Source organism: Homo sapiens, chromosome 10 (assembly GCF_000001405.40).
Source record: "Homo sapiens chromosome 10, GRCh38.p14 Primary Assembly".
Classification (NCBI taxonomy): domain Eukaryota; kingdom Metazoa; phylum Chordata; class Mammalia; order Primates; family Hominidae; genus Homo; species Homo sapiens.
In genome coordinates, this window is record NC_000010.11 from 45,661,676 (window position 1) to 45,678,515 (window position 16,840).

Below are 16,840 nucleotides of genomic sequence, written 5' to 3' on the forward strand. Positions count from 1 at the left end.
CACGCCTGTAATCCCAGCACTTTGGGAGGCCGAGGCAGGTGGATCACCTGAGGTCAGGAGTTCGAGACCAGCCTGGCCAACATGGTGAAACCCCATCTCTACTAAAAGTGCAAAATCAGTCAGGCATGGTGGCGCATGCCTGTAATCCCAGCTACTCGGGAGGCTGAGGCAGGAGAATCGCTTGAACCCAGGAGGCGGAGGTTGTGGTGAGCAGAGATTGCGCCATTCTCCAGCCTGCGCAACAGGTGCAAAACTCCGTCTCGAAGAAAAAAAAAAAAAAAAAGATACTATGTTCTCTCTCTGCCATGTGAAAATGCAGTGAACAAGCCTAGAGGACAGCCCCCACCAGAACCTGCCCATGCTGGTACCCTGATATTCAGCCTTCAGACAGTGAGAAATAAATTTCTGTTGTTTAAGCCACCGGTCTGTGGTATTTTGTTATGACAGCTCCAGCAGACTAAGATAGTAGGTATTTTACATATTACCTTATTTAATTTCCTAATATCTGTATTTGTTCATAAACATTTAAACTTAGATTCAATTGTCTAATAACCAAAAAGCCACTGCTTTTGTCCCCACAATGTCTCCTCCTACAGAGACAAGGACTCTATAACTTGGCTCTGGTTCTGACTCATGGAAACTAAATATTTCCCTTGGATGAGTTATTAATCTCCTCTAAACCCAAGTTGACTCTTCTGACATAAAAAGATTGAAACAGGATTCTCTCTAAAGTGCTTTTGCTGCATACAAATTATTTAAAATTCATGAAAGAGATAAAAAGTACAGAGATTATTTACAACGCAAGATTTCACCTTCATGCTCCAAAAAAGGTATCCTTTAAACTATGATATAAATTGCAAAGCAGAACGAAGTCAAAATAAACTATCATGACTCTAGATCTCACCAAATCATTTAGGGCAGACAAAAGCTTCAAGAGTCATTACTGAATGTGCTGATGTGGTCACTGGACTCGGCCAGCCACTCACTTCAGTAGGATCTCCTGGGTCTAGAGAAATAGCAAATATTCAGGAGCTCATATATATCCTTGGCCTCACAAAAATGAAAAATTCTAACCCTCCTCATCCTTCTATAATTCTGAACTTAAACCAGCTGGAGGGCAACCCTAGTCACTACCTTTATATTACAAGCAAGTTCCAGCTGGTTCCATCAACAAAGATCCATTTACTGTTATATGGAACAATTTAATTTTCTACTAAAAACTGGATTTTTAACAACTATAAATGGCAAACATTACTTATTGCAGAAATCTGCAAAATGCAAAGACTAATTTTAATAAAAATTAGTCTTTTTAGGCACTTTCTGCAAATATACAAACCACAAAAGAGACATTACACATTATTCAGCACCCCTGCTATACTAAGGGAACTTTGAATATACGTAAATGTAAGCCAAAGACTCTTTTCGGAAAACCTCCACATTAAAAAAAAAAAAAAGGAGGGTGGTTGCAAAGCAGTGTAAAAAGGGAAATAAGGTCCCTAGAAGGGAATATAATTACTATTTCCCATTAAAAGTAAAATATAAAGTAACATTAAAAGTAACTATAAAATAGTTAAGGCATAATTTGCAGGTCACCATAACCTGCTGAAAGCTATTCTAAAATATTATTTCACACCATAGCATGATGCCAGGGATTTGTTTCCAAAGAATCTGGTGAACACAGCAATGGGGATAAAATAGTTCATAAGCTGATAAATGTTGGAGAGAGGGAGTAGGAGGGGGTTCATTATCTTATTCTAACATCATATATGTTTGAAATTGTCTCCATTAAAATACTTTAAAAACTACTAGACATTATTGATGAACAAATTTAATTTTCATATCCTAAAAACAAAGAAAGATGAGTACCTTCCAATCTTCGAATTTTTGCTTTCACAGAAATAACAGTTTCAAAAGGTGAAACTCTCAGCTCAAAACATGTTCCAGTTAATGTTTCAATGAAGAGCTCCATGGTATCACAGAAATGAAGTCTGTAGTAAAATGGTCCCATGTTATCATCATTGAAGAATGGAGGCTCTTTTCTGTTATCCATTACTTTGACTTTTCTAGTTCTTCTAAAATATGTCGCAGGCAACTGTATTCCAGTTCTAGGCAAACCAGGTTTGAAGATTGGTAATATATATTGTTGTTCATGTTTTGAGTTTTGTACCTAAAAAAACAAGAATTTTTTTAACAAGCCTATCTGAAAGTTGTATTTGTCCATAAAGATTTTCCGTTAACTGTGGCCCATATCAATCTTCCAGACGGCCCCAGAATTCACTTTAGTGCTTTTAATTATGTCTAATCCTGAACTTTTCACATTTGTCTCTGAAATCACTCTCCCATCTAGACCATAAGATTATTAAGAATACGCATATTTTTGATATTATAATGTATCTTACTAGAGCTCAGCACAGTTATATATATAGTACATGCTCAACAAATACTTTTGTTGTTAAGTGATATATAAGCCAAACTCAACAAACACATCAGTATATTTCTGTAAGGCTTTGAAAAATTTATTCATATCCTTTTCTAAAACATACAAATTATGTCTTCTATACCATATAAAGCATAACTTTACAACGATTGTACATTTGACTTTTTTTTTTTTTTTGACAGAGTCTCGCTCTGTCGCCAGGCTGGAGTGCAGTGGCACAATCTCGGCTCACTGCAACCTCCGCCTCCCGGGTTCAAGCAATTCTCCTGCCTCAGCCTCCCAAGAAGCTGGGATTACAGGCACCCACCACCATGCCCAGCAGATTTTTGTATTTTTAGTAGAGACGGGGTTTCACCACGTTGGCCAGGATGGTCTCGATCTCTTCACCTTGTGATCCACCCGCCTCGGCCTCCCAAAGTGCTGGGATTACAGGCGTGAGCCACCATGCCTACTCCTGTTGTATATTTGAATCATACTGGATAAAAGGAATGCCAACCACCATAATAGGTTGCTTAAAAATAGTACTCACTAGGCTGGGGGCTGTGGCTCATGCCTGTAATCCCAGCACTTTGGGAGGCCGAGATGGCAGATCATGATGAGGTCAGGAGATCGAGACCATCCTGGCTAACATGGTGAGACCCAATCTCTACTAAAAATACAAGAAAAAAATGAGCTGGGCGTGGCGGTGTCTGCCTGTAGTCCCAGCTACTTGGGAGGCTGAGGCAGGAGAATGGCGTGAACCCGGGAGGCAGAGCTTGCGGTGAGCCGAGATTGCGCCACAACACCCCAGCCTGGGCAACAGAGCAAGACTCTGGTCTCAAAAACAAAAAAAAGTAGTACTCACTAAATCATCAACGGTTTCCAGAGGATATTATAGCATTCAGATGACATTAGAATTGGTAATAAGTATTAGACAATCTCTGCTCACATACATACAATGGCTAATAAGTATGAGTGGTAAGCCCAACAAATAGAAGTAGTAAACTAAATGACAAGTATAGAACTAGGAGCACAAAAATGATCAAATTGCTATTGCTATTAATCGTGAAAACTCTATACAGGGGGGCCTTGAACTTAAACTAGGACAAATGATACACATCTTTCTGGTGAGGTGGTTAAACCTTTTTAAAAATAGCTTTATTGAGGGCCAGGCACAGTGGCTCACACCTGTAATCCCAGCACGTTGGGAGGCCGAGGTGGGCGGATCACCTGAGGTCAGGAGTTCGAGACCAGCCTGGCCAAAATGGCGAAACCCCATCTCTACCAAAAAATACAAAAATTAGCCAGGAATGGTGGCGCACACCTGTAGTCCCAGCTACTCGGGAGGCTGAGGCAGGAGAACCGCTTGAGTCCAGGAGGCAGAGGTTGCAGTGAGCCAAGATTGCACCACTGCACTCCAACCTGGGTGACAGAGCAAGACTCCATCATTAAATAAGAAAAAAAAAGCTTTATTGAAATATAATTCACATGCCATAAAATTCACTCATTTAAAGCCTAAAATTCACTGGTTTTTATGATGTACACAGAGTTGTGCAACAATCACCACATTTGCTTTAGAAAATTTTCATTACCTCTAAAAGGAACCCCATACCCTGTAACCAACACTCCCAAATTCCCCCAGTCCCCCACTCAACCCTAGGCAACCACTAATCTACTTTCTATCTCCAAATTGGTCTATTCTGGACATTTCACATAAATAGAATCATATATGATTTTTTTGTGACTGGCTTCTTTCACTTAGCATAATGTTTTCAAAGTTCATCATGTTCTAGGATATATCAGTATTTCACTCCTTTTTATTGCTGAATAATAGTCCCCTGTAGCAATATATCTCATGTTGTTTATCCATCCATCAGTTGATGAGCATTTGAGTCGTTTCCAATTTTGGGCTGTTACATATAGTGCTAAGATGAACATTCAACTGCAAGTTTTTGTGTAAACATATGTTTTCCTTTCTCTTTGAAGTAGCTTTGCTAGATAATGTGGTAACTCTTATGTTTGGCAATTTGTGGAACTACCAAACTGTTTTCTAAATGGTATGGATCATTTTATAGTCCCATCAACAATGAATGAGGGTGCCAATTTCTCCACACCCTTGACAATACTTGTTTCTGTCCTTTTGATTAAAGCTATCCTAGTGGGTGTGAAGTAGTATCTCACTGTGGTTGACTTCCATTTCTTTAAAAACTAATGATATTGTGCATCTTTTTTATGTGATTATTGGCCATTTGCATACATTCTTTGGAGAAATGCCTATTCATATACTTTGTCTATTTTTTAATTGGATTTTTTATTGAGTTGTATGAGTTTTTATATTACATATTCTAGATAAAAACACTTAACAGATATATGAATGGTAAATATTTTCTCTCATTTTGTGGGTTGTCTTTTGATAGTATCTTTTGAAACACAAAGGTTTTTAATTTTGTTAAACTCTAATTTGGCTATTTTTCTTTTATCATACTTAAAAAGCTTGGCTTAACCCAAGGTAATAAAGATTGACTTATATATGTTTCTAAAAATTGTAGTTTTAGCTCTTATGTTTAGGTGTACTGTCCAATTTCAATTTAGTTTTGTGTATGGTGTGAGGTAGAGTCTAACTTTATTCTTTTGCATGTGGATAACCAGTTGTTCCAGTATCATTTGTCAGAATTACCATTCATTCCCAATTGAATTGTCTTGGATCCTTGTTAAAAACCAATTTACTGTAAATGTGAAGGTTTATTTCCAGACTCTTTATTCTGTTGATCTACCTATGCCAGTACCACCACATCTTAATTAATGTAGCTTTGTAGTAAGTTCTGAAATCAGGAAGTGTGAGGCCTCCAATTTGTTCTTTTTAGATTGTTGGCTATTCTGGACTCCTTGAATTGCCATATGAATTTTAAGTATGCCCATTTTGCAAAAATGTCAGCTGGGATTTTGACAGGGATTGTATTAAGTCTGTAGATTTGGAGAGTACTGCAATCTTAATACTAAGTCTTCTAATCCATAAATACATACTATTTTTCAGTTTATATCTAATTTATTTCAATGTTTTATAATTTTTAAAGCACAAGTTTTGTTCTCTTTTATTAAATTTATTCCTAAGTATTTTATTCCTTTAAATGCTATTACAAATGGAATCACTGTCTTATTTACAGATTGCTCATTGCTGGTTTATAGAAACACAACCGATTTTAATATCTTGATCCTGTACACTGCAACTGTGCTGAACTGTTTATTTCGTTCATTTAGTTATTTAAATCTTCCTAAACGCTCTCTATAAAAGCTCTATATACAAGATCATGTCATTTACAAATAGAGTTTTACTTCTCCCTTTCTAATCTATATGCTCTTTTCTTTCTTTTTTTTTTTTTTTTTTTTTTTGGAGGGGGTGAAAGTCCCACTCTGTTGCCCGGGCTGAAGTGAAATGGCACGATCTCCGCTTATTGTAACCTCCGCCTCCCGAGTTCAAGCGATTCGCCTGTCTCAGCTTCCCAAATAGCTGGGATTACAGGCACCTGCCACCACACCAGGCAAATTTTTGTATTTTTAGTAGAGACAAGGTTTTACCAAGTTGGCCAGGCTGGTCTCGAACTGCTGACCTCAGGTGACCCACCCACCCTGGCCTCCCAAAGAGCTGGGATTACAGGCCTGAGCCACTGCACTGGGCTTATTTCCCTTTCTTGCCTAATTGCCCTGCTCTGGAACCTTCAGTACAAGATTGAATAAAAGTGGTGAGACTGGACATCCTTGTCTAATTCTTGATTGTAGAAGGAAACCATTGAGTCTTTAGGTATAATGTTAACCGTGGGGTTTTCATAGATTACCAATATAAGGTTGACGAGCTTCCCTTCTATTCCTGCTTTAGGTGGGTTTTCTTTTTAATCATGAAGGGGTGCCAATTTTATCAAACGCTTTTTTCATTGTCTATTGAAATAATCATTTGGTTTTCTTTACTTTTTTATTCACATATTACATTACTTTTTATGTGTCAAATCAATCTTGCATTACTGGGGTAAATCCCATTTGTACCTGGTATGTAATCCTTTACATATGTTGATGGATTTGATCTGAAAATATTTCCTCAGGATTTCTGTGTCTATAATCACAAGAGATGATGATCTGTAGTTTTCATTATGTCTGTCAGGATTTGGTATCAGGGTAATATTGGCCTTAGCCAAACTAAGCTTCGTAAGTGAAGGAGAAATAAAATCCTTTACAGACAAGCAAATGCTGAGAGATTTTGTCACCACCAGGCCTGCCTTACAAGAGCTCCTGAAGGAAACACTAAACATGGAAAGGAACAACCGGTACCAGCCACTGCAAAAACATGCCAAATGGTAAAGACCATTGATGCTGTGAAGAAACTGCAACAATTAATGGGCAAAATAACCAGCTAACATCATAAAGACAGGATCAAATTCACACATAACAATATTAGCCTTACATGTGAGTGGGCTAAATGCCCCAATTAAAAGACATTTTAATGTCTGGCAAATTCTTCTCAGCACCACATCGCACTTATTCCAAAGTTGACCACATAGCTGGAAGTAAAGCACTCCTTAGCAAATGTAAAACAACAGAAATCACAACAAACTGTCTCTCAGACCACAGTGCAATCAAATTATAACTCAGGATTAAGAAACTCACTCAAAACTGCACAACTACATGGAAACTGAACAACCTGCTCCTGAATGACTACTGGGTAAATAACGAAATGAAGGCAGAAATAAAGATGTTCTTTGAAACCAATGAGAACAAAGACACAACGCACCAGAATCTCTGGGACACATTTAAAGCAGTGTGTACAGGGAAATTTATAGCACTAAATGCCCACAAGAGAAAGCAGGAAAGATCTAAAATTGACACCCTAAAATCACAATTAAAAGAACTAGAGAAGCAAGAGCAAACAAATTCAAAAGCTAGCAGGAGGCAAGAAATAACTAAGATCAGAGCAGAACTGAAGGAAATAGAGACACAAAAATCCCTTCAAAAAATCAATGAATCTGAGAGCTGGTTTTTTGAAAAGATCAACAAAATTGATAGATTGTTAGTAAGACTAAAGAATCAAATAGATGCAATAAAAAAAGATAAAGGGGATATCACCAGCGATCCCACAGAAATACAAACTACCATCAGAGAATACCATAAACACCTCTACACAAATAAACTGGAAAATCTAGAAGAAATTGATAAATTCCTGGACACATATACCTTCCCAGGACTAAACCAGGAAGAAGTGGAATCTCTGAAGAAACCAATAACAGGCTCTGAAATTGAGGCAATAATTAATAGCCTACCAACAAAAAAAGTCCAGGTCCAGATGGATTCACAGCCAAATTCTACCAGGGGTACAAAGAGGAGCTGGTACCATTCCTTCTGAAACTATTCCAATCAATAGAAAAAGAGGGAATCCTCCCTAACTCATTTTATGAGGCCAGCATCATCCTGATACCAAAGCCTGGCAGACACACAACAAAAAAAGAGAATTTTAGACCAGTATCCCTGATGAACATCTATGCGAAAATCCTCAATAAAATACTGGCACACCGAATCCAGCAGCACATCAAAAAGCTTATCCACTATGATCAAGTCGGCCTCATCCCTGGGATGCAAGGCTGGTTCAATACAGGCAAATCAATAAATATAATCCATCACATAAACAGAGCCAATGACAAAAACCACATGATTATCTTAATAGATGCAGAAAAGGCCTTTGACAAAATCCAACAGCTCTTCATGCTAAAAACTCTTAATAAACTAGGTATTGATGGAACGTATCTCAAAATAATAAGAGCTATTTATGACAAACTCACAGCCAATATCATAGTGAATGGGCAAAAACTGGAAGCATTCCCTTTGAAAACCGGCACAAGACAGGGATGCCCTCTCTCACCACTCCTATTTAACACAGTGTTGGAAGTTCTGGCCAGAGCAATCAGACAGGAGACAGAAATAAAGGATATTCAATTAGGAAAAGAGGAAGTCAAATTGTCCCTGTTTGCAGATGACATGATTATACATTTAGAAAACCCCATCGTCCCAACCCAAAATCTCCTTAAGCTGATAAACAACTTAAGCAAAGTCTCAGGGTACAAAATCAATGTGCAAAAATCACAACTATCTGATTTTTTTTTTTTTTTTTTGAGACGGAGTTTCACTTTTGTTGCCCAGGCTGGAGTGCAATGGTGTGATCTTGGCTCACCACAACCTCCGCCTCCCAGATTCAAGTGATTCTCCTGCCTCAGCCTCCCTAGTAGCTGGGATTACAGGCATGTGCCACCACGCCCGGCTAATTTTTTTGCATTTTTAGTAGAGATTTCTCCCAACAGGGGTTTCTCCATGTTCGTCAGGCTGGTCTCAAACTCTCAACCTCAGGTGATCCGCCTGCCTCGGCCTCCCAAAGTGCTGGGATTACAGGCGTAAGCCACTGTGCCCAGCCTACAACCATCTTTGACAAACCTGACAAAAACAAGACGTAGGGAAATGATTCCCTATTTAATAAATGGTGCTGGGAAAACTGGCTAGCCATATGTAGAAAGCTGAAACTGGATCCCTTCCTTACACCTTATACAAAAATTAATTCAAGATGGATTAAAGACTTAAATGTTAGACCTGAAACCATAAAAACCCTAGAAGAAAACCTAGGCAATACCATTCAGGACATAGGCATGAGCACGGACTTCATGACTAAAACACCAAAAGCAATGGCAACAAAAGCCAAAATAGACAAATGGGATCTAATTAAACTAAAGAGCTTCTGCACAGCAAAAGAAACTACCATCAGAGTGAACAGGCAACCTACAGAATGGGAAAAAAATTTTGCAATCTACCCATCTGACAGAGGGCTAATATCCAGAATCTACAAAGAACTTAGACAAATTTTCAAGAAAAAAACAACCGCATCAAAAAGTGGGCAAAGGATATGAACAGACAGTTCTCAAAAGAAGATATTTATGCAGCCAACAGACACATGAAAAAACACTCATCATCACTGGTCATCAGAAAAATGCAAATCAAAACCACAGTGAGATACCATCTCACACCAGTTAGAATGGCGATCATTAGAAAGTTAGGAAACAACAGATGCTGGAGAGGATGTGTAGAAATAGGAACACTTTTACACTGTTGGTGGGACTGTAAATTAGTTCAACCGTTGTGGAAAACAGTGTGGCAATTCCTCAAGGATCTAGAACTAGAAATACCATTTGACCCAGCGATCCCATTACTGGGTATATACCCAAAGGATTATAAATCATGCCACTATAAAGACACATGCACACGTATGTTTACTGTGGCACAATTCACAACAGCAAAGACTTGGAACCAACCCAAATGTCCATCAGTGATAGAGTGGATTAAGAATATGTGGCACATATACACCATGGAATACTATGCAGCCATAAAAAAAGGATGAGTTCATGTCCTTTGCATGGACATGGATGAAGCTGGAAACCATCATTCTCAGCAAACTGTCACAAGGACAGAAAACCAAACACCGCCATGTTCTCACTCATAGATGGGAACTCAACAATGAGAACACTTGGACACAGGGAGGGGAACATCACACACTGGGGCCTGTCGTGGGGAGTGAGATGGGGGGAGGGATAGCATTAAGAGAAATACGCAATATAAATGACGAGTTAGTCGGTGCAGAAAACCAACATGGCACATGTATAGCTATGTACCAAACCTGCACGTTGTGCACATGTACCCTAGAACTTAAAAAAAAAAAAAAAATCAATTCCCAAAGCATTTCTCTCATTTCTTCTGAAAAGTTTCTAAAAACACAACTCCAAGGATGAAATGGAAGTTAAAGGTAAACAGGCAATAGCGCTGAATACGTAATTTCAGTAACTCAGAATTTTCTCCAACCTCTGCTCTAAAGAAGCTTAGCTACAGAAGAGCAGTTACCTTTGAAACATTTTCCCCAACATAAAGATATCCGGAATGTGAAGCTGCCATTAAAACTGTGACACAGATCTACATTTACTGATACATCAAAACATCCCTAAAGTTCGAAATACGAGCTACAGAATCACATCAACCGCCTAACTTGTCTGTAGCCTAAACTCTAGTCCGGAGTTCATCTGCAAGCGGAATTGGGAAGTATTTCAGAGCCAGCATCTCCTCGCGCCATCCAGGTACCTACACACTTGAGGCCACCGAGTCACCTGCGCAGCCGTTGCTCCTCCAAGACCAATCCGGGCTCCCCAGACCCACCGGCCTGAATCTGGAGGACAGCAGTCCGCGTGACAACAGCGACTCGGAGATCAGCACCCGTCGGGAAAGCCGCGTACCCGTTGAAGCTGGCGTCACGCCCAAAGGAACAAACGCCAGAGCGTGTGTCCTGGGCAAAGGCGGCCCGCCGCTCCGGTCCCCGGGCAGCAGCGGCCGGCGTCAGGCCGCAAGGCGAGGGGCGGGGACAGGACTCTACCCGGCAGCCCAGCGCCGAGCGCCCGCGCCACTCCGGCCTTGCGCCATTCCGGCCCCACGACGGCCGGCGGCGGCAGCGCGGCTGGGCTCAGCGGCTCGCAGCCCGGGCGCCCCCCCTGCCGGCCGCTCGCTAGCTCAGCCTCACCCGCAGTCTTGTCCGCTGGCTCGCTCGCCCGCCTACAGGTCGACAGGGCCCAACGACCCGGCGAGCAACTTCACGGAAGGCACTGGCCGACAACGCTCCGCTGCCGCCGCGCCCCGCCCCTTTGTGACACCACCTACCAATCGCTGGACGGCGCTTTCGCTGCCCTCCAATCAGCGCGGGCGGGGGCAGGCCTGGCCCCCGGACGTGGGCGGTTGCCGGGGCGCCAGGGCCCTGGGGCCTTCTTGGCATTCGCTGGAGGTTGTGAGTTACGAGGCCCGGATGTTGATCTTTTATTACTAGCAACACTGGACCCCTGACTCGTGCCCACGCGGGCGTCTGGAGGGCAGCCGCATGGCCTGCTGGGAACGGCGGGGTTGAAGCCGGAGCCGCCCTCCGTGAGACCCACCGGGGATCCTCTTCCAGGCGCCTGATTTGCTGGAGATAGGCGATACAGGCAGACGCTGTCCAGTCGGTGGCCTCTCCAGAGTGAGGGGCGCTCCTGGTGCGTTTGGGCCGGCCTGTCCTAACAAATCTGCTTTAGGCTTCACCGTCCCCTAATGTTTCTGGCCTCAATTGCCTCATCTGGAAAATGGGGGCATTACCGTGCCTGCTTGAAGACAAAGGCGAAAACAGATAACTTTCTGTAGTCCTCATACAATTTACTGAGAACTGTAGGCCAGGCAATGGAGTAGGCACCCTGGGCTCAAATCCCAGCGTTGGGTAAGCCCAGCCACACCTCCTGCTCCAGTTTCCAAGCTGCTGAGCTGCGGTGTAAACAGTAACTGGCTTCAAGCCAACACCTGCCTTTCAACCTAACATGGGAGCCCACTGCCTCGTTCCGTTCCCCCTACCGATTTTCCAACTCCGTGAACCTCCTTCACTAAGTGGGTTACTCAGCTGACAAAGAATGTCATCTCACTCCCACTGCGGGTTCACTCATCCTCGACTTCTGGCTCAGAGGAGCCAGTCTAATATGAAACTAAACATCTAATCTGTGTCTCCTGTCCTCTCTCATTCTTCTGAGACCCTACCCACCAACTTATCTCCACAGTTCAACGAACTATTGAGCATACACTGGGGGAGTATGGTGAGGCACTGGGCATTGATTCACCAGTCTCGCCGTTGGTTCCTTCTGAAACTCCACATATGCTTAATGCTAAATAGATTGGAGACCTTTGAGGACAGAGCTATGATGGTAATCATCTTTGCATTCCTGAGCCTAGAATAGGGCCTGTGATGGAGACTTACTGAGTAAAAACCTTAGCGTTTCTCACCCTTGCCTGCCCACTTCATTCACACTGGAGAATTGACAGCATGGACCGTGGAGTCAGGCAGGTGTGTTTAAAGCCTTGCCTCCCAATACCAGAAGCTCCATTACCTGGCCAAGTCATTCATTCTTTACAACATCATCATCATTATCATCTGCCATTCTTCAAGTGCCAGATAGTTGATAAGGGTCTTTACGTATTCTCTCCCCATCACAATCCTGCAAAGTTGGTAGTGAAATCCCTCGTCTACAAAGGAGTAAACAAAAGCCAATTAAAGTAGAACAATTTACCTATAATCAAACAGCTCTATGTCGGAAAGCCATATTTAAACTAGGACACAATACAAAAATCCAACCTTGTTCCATTATTCCACATTGCTTCCAGATTTTAGCTTTATCTGTAAAATTAGTGTTACTACATTACCTATCTGATAGACCATGGAGACTGAATAAAATAGCATTAAAAGTTGTTACCATAGGAACTTTTTTTTAACGTAAGTTCTCTCTCCCTTTCAAGCCTCTCAAAATAGCAGCTTGCGTATTTTCTAAACCTGTTGTCTCCTGAATCCCCTGAAACCAATCCTACTGATTGATGAGTAGATTTAGTTGTTCCAAAAGAAAATCATCGTATTTAACAAATGCTGACTCTGACCGACATTGGGTACTACAGCAAGAAACTATGTGCACAAATAACCTACGGACAGAAGGAAGATGCATAAAATGAATAGGGGAAAGGAGTGGCCAACTAGCAAGTGCCCTCATCTGTCATCACGTCACTCTCACAGCAGACTTGGGCAAATGGTTGACCTGTGGGAGCTGAACAAAATCTTTGACTCTGGGTATGAGTAATTCCCTGTCTGATCTTACAGTGCCCAAGGAAGAAGTCAGTAGCTCCAGGATCGCTGAGACCAACCTGGGCGGCCTACAAGACTGCACCATGGTGACAGGCTGAATAGTCAGCAGCAAGACGACAGAGCACCAAAAAACACAGACTAGAATGGGGTCAGCCATCCAGGTGGCTAGTGGCTACTGCCTTTGACGATGCAGATAAAGAAAATTTTCATTCCTGCAGAGTTCTATGGGGCAGTGCTGCTCTAGAGGCTGACATTTCTATCCTCAGCACTTCCCCCGGCTATTACCTAGGTTCATTCTGCTGCTTCCACAAGGCAAGAATGGAACAGAATGCCTTAGAGCAATGGTCAGCGAACTGTTTATGTAAAGGGGCAGGGCCAGGCGCAGTGGCTCACGCCTGTTATCCCCGCACTTTGGGAGGCCGAGGCAGGTGGATCACGAGGTCAGGAGTTCAAGACCAACCTGGCCAACATGGTGAAACCCCAACTCTACTAAAAATACAAAAATTAGCTGGGTGTGATGGCAGGCGCCTGTAATCCCAGCTACTCGGGAGGCTGAGGCAGGAGCATCGCTTCAACCCAGGAAATAGAGGTTGCAGTGAGCCAAGATCACATGACTGCACTCCAGCCTGGGTGACAGAGCAAGACTCCGTCTCAAAAAAATAAATAAAAGGGGCAGATAGAAAACATCTGAGGCTCTGTGAGCCATCCGGTCTCGTCATAATTACTCAACTCTTACATTGGAGGTAGGGTGAAAGCAACAATAGAAAGTAAGTAAATCAATGAATGTGGTTGTGTTCCAATAAAACTTTATTAACAAGATCAGACAGTGGGGGGGGGGGGGTAGCATAGTTTGCCAAACGAAAATCCAATAAAAATTTATTAAAGATTTAAATGTGGCCAAGCGTGGTGGCTCATGACTGTAATCCCAGCACTTTGGGAAGCGGAGGCGGGTGGATCACAAGGTCAGGAGGTCGAGAACATCCTGGCCAACATGGCAAAACCCTGTCTCTACTAAAAGCACAAAAATTAGCTGGGCGTGGTAGCGCGTGCCTATAGTCCCAGCTACTCAGGAGGCTAAGGCAGGAGAATCACTTGAACCCGGGAGGCGAAGGCTGCAGTGAGTCGAGATCGCACCACTGCACTCCAGCCTGGGCAACAGAGCGAGACTCTGTCTCCAAAAAAAAAAAAATCAAAAAACAACATTTAAGTGTAAGACCTGAAATGAGAAAACTTTTCTTTTAGGTTTTTGTCTAGAAGTTTCTAGGTATTGATCTTGACAATAATTTACAGAATATGTCACAAAAGTGGAGACATGAAAAGCCAAACTAAACATGGGACAATGCCAAATTGAAAACCTTCACAGCAAAGAAACCAATGAACAAATTAAAAAGCTTTTTAACAATTATCCAAAATACCTAAAGAACTTGTATTAATAAATAGGAAAAAAAACTGAAACAAAACAGAAAAGCATCAAAAAGCTTAAAAATAAGCAGATTTGGCCGGGCACGGTGGCTCATGCCTGTAATCCCAGCACTTTAGGAGGCCGAGGTGGACGGATAACCTGAGGTCGGGAGTTCGAGACCAGCCTGACCAACATGGAGAAACCCTATCTCTACTAAAAATACAAAATTAGCCGGGCATGGTGGCACATACCTGTAATCCCAGCTACTAGGGAGGCTGAGGCAGAAGAATCTCTTGAGCCCGGGAGGCGGAGGTTGTGGTGAGCCAAGATCATGCCACCAGTCTGGGCAACAAGAGCTAAACTCCGTCTCAAAAAAAAAAAAAAAAAAACATGTTCAGCAAGGTTGAAGCATCAAAGGTTAATAGCCAGAATCATTTATCAATTGTATTTCTACACATCTGCAAGACACAATCTGAAAATGAAATTAGAAAAACAACTTCATTGGGCAACAAGAGCAAAACTTCATCTCAAAAAAAAAGAAAAAAAAAATAGTAATCTACAATGTCATTTCCTGTTCAAGCTTGACTTCTACCTTTACTTTCTGATATGGTTTTGCCATGTCCCCCCACCCACATCTCATCATGAATTATAATCCCCATAATCCTGATGTGTCGAGGGAGGGGCCTAGGGGGAGGTGATTGGATCACGGGGGCAGTTATCCTCATGCTGTTCTTGTGATATTCAGTAAGTCCTCATGAGATCTTATAGGGTTTTGTTTTGTTTTGTTTTTTGGATGGAGTCTTGCTCTGTCACCCAGACTGCAGTACCATGGCGCGATCTTGGCTCACTGCAGCCTCTGCCTCCTGGGTTCCAGTGATTCTCCTGCCTCAGCCTCCTGAGTAGCTGGGATTACGGGCATGCGCCACCACACCCAGCTAATTTTTGTATTTTTAGTAGAGACGGGATTTCACTAAGTTAGCTAGGCTGGTCTCGAACTCCTGACCTCAGTTGATCCACCTGCTTTGGCCTCCCAAAGTACCAGGGTTACAAGTGTGAGCCACCAAGCCCAGCTGAGATCTGATGGTTTTACACATGTTTGACAGTTGCTCCTTCACATGTTCCCACTCTCTGTGCGGCCACCATGTAAGTCGGACCTGGTTCCCCTTCTGCCATGATTGTAAGTTTCCTGAAGCCTACCCAGCCATGCGAAACTGTGAATCAATTAAACCTGTTTCCTTTATAAATTATCCAACCTCAGGTATTTCTTTATATCAGTGTGAAACAGACTAATGTGCTTTCCGATAATCATGCTTCAGGAATTGGGGAATTCAGACTACCTGGGATCAAATTGTGGCCCCAACCTTAGCAGCCATGTGACCTTGGGGAGGTTACTTACCTTCTCCATCTCAACTCCTTCAGTAAAATCTGTAAAATGACATTGTTTCTGAGGGTTAAATGAGCATAGCACAGTGTCAGGCACACACTACTTGCCAGATGTCGAGTATTCATCTTTATTGAAATAGGACTGTGGTAAGCCACTTTATGGCTCTCGATTTTGTATGAGAAAATCATGCTTAGTGCCTTGTTAGTAAAAGAAAGAAAACCTGAAAGTCCCTGCCACGGAAGGAAGAAATAGCGGGGAGAAAAGGGAGTTGGTAAGTTTCAGCATTTCAGAGCTTGGAGAGGGACAAGTTAGGTTTCCATTTTATGGAGAAGGAGGTGGAGGCAGGATGGGTCCTAAGGTGTCATTCAAAACACACAGCCATAACTCTTTATTGAGAGTAGCGCTAGGGCCCCAGGGATTGCTGTGGTCAAGTTGCGGACAAAAATGACCACTCGTTGGAAGACAGGAGAGGAGTGTTTAGTTACAAAAGCAGTCAACAATTCAGGTGTATCTATATTCAGACAGCAAATAAAAGTTGTTCAACTTGGTTGCTAATGGGACCCACTCTACTGAGGCTTTGTATAGAACTCATAGAGGAAGATGGCTTCAAGGAATGAACTACCCTGTGCTTTTCTTAGGACTAAAATCTCAGGAAGCTGGTGATGAATGAAAACCTTAGTCCCACTGGCACTGCACGAGGGGCCAGGAGAGCAGCAGCATCATAAGCCGCAGGGTGGGGCAGCCAAGGCAGGGGCATTCTGAGCTGTTGGGGAGGGGTGGCAGGCAGGGTGGGGCACTGTGAGCTGTCGGGGAGGGCATTGTGAAGTGTGGGGTGGGGCATTGTGTGCCACATGCCTGGGCTCCCACCTGGGGCCAGTGGGCTTCAGTCTGTAGGTGACTACAGAAGGAGGAGGAGCTCCGTCTGTTCTC

General features: G+C 42.6%; 1 protein-coding gene across 23 annotated transcripts in view, besides 1 other annotated feature; it reads right to left on the bottom strand.

Annotated features, from left to right (window-relative positions):
• ZFAND4 (zinc finger AN1-type containing 4) overlaps positions 1-11,138 on the bottom strand; it is a 57,314-nt gene extending 46,176 nt beyond the window's left edge. For 6 of the 23 annotated variants that reach the window (XR_001747259.2, XM_011540366.3, XM_047426009.1 and 3 more), the window contains exons 1-2: positions 10,337-11,097; positions 1,867-2,167 (exon numbers count right to left, since the gene is read on the bottom strand). Coding sequence is in view for 17 of the 23 variants with exons in the window: in XM_011540366.3 (XP_011538668.1) it covers positions 1,867-2,167; positions 10,337-10,387 (352 nt within the window). In the remaining 6 variants the exon portion in view is untranslated. Of the gene's footprint in view, positions 1-904; positions 1,007-1,866; positions 2,168-6,454; positions 6,522-10,336 lie in introns of those variants that run through there. The other 17 variants (XM_017016939.3, XM_017016933.3, NM_001128324.2 and 14 more) reach the window with 13 other exon arrangements.
• Positions 10,680-11,399: a silencer, noted in NCBI's record as "silent region_2347". NCBI's record gives its function as "represses an Ori minimal core promoter by ATAC-STARR-seq in GM12878 lymphoblastoid cells {active_cell/tissue: GM12878}" and the evidence as "EXISTENCE:reporter gene assay evidence [ECO:0000049][PMID:35858748]".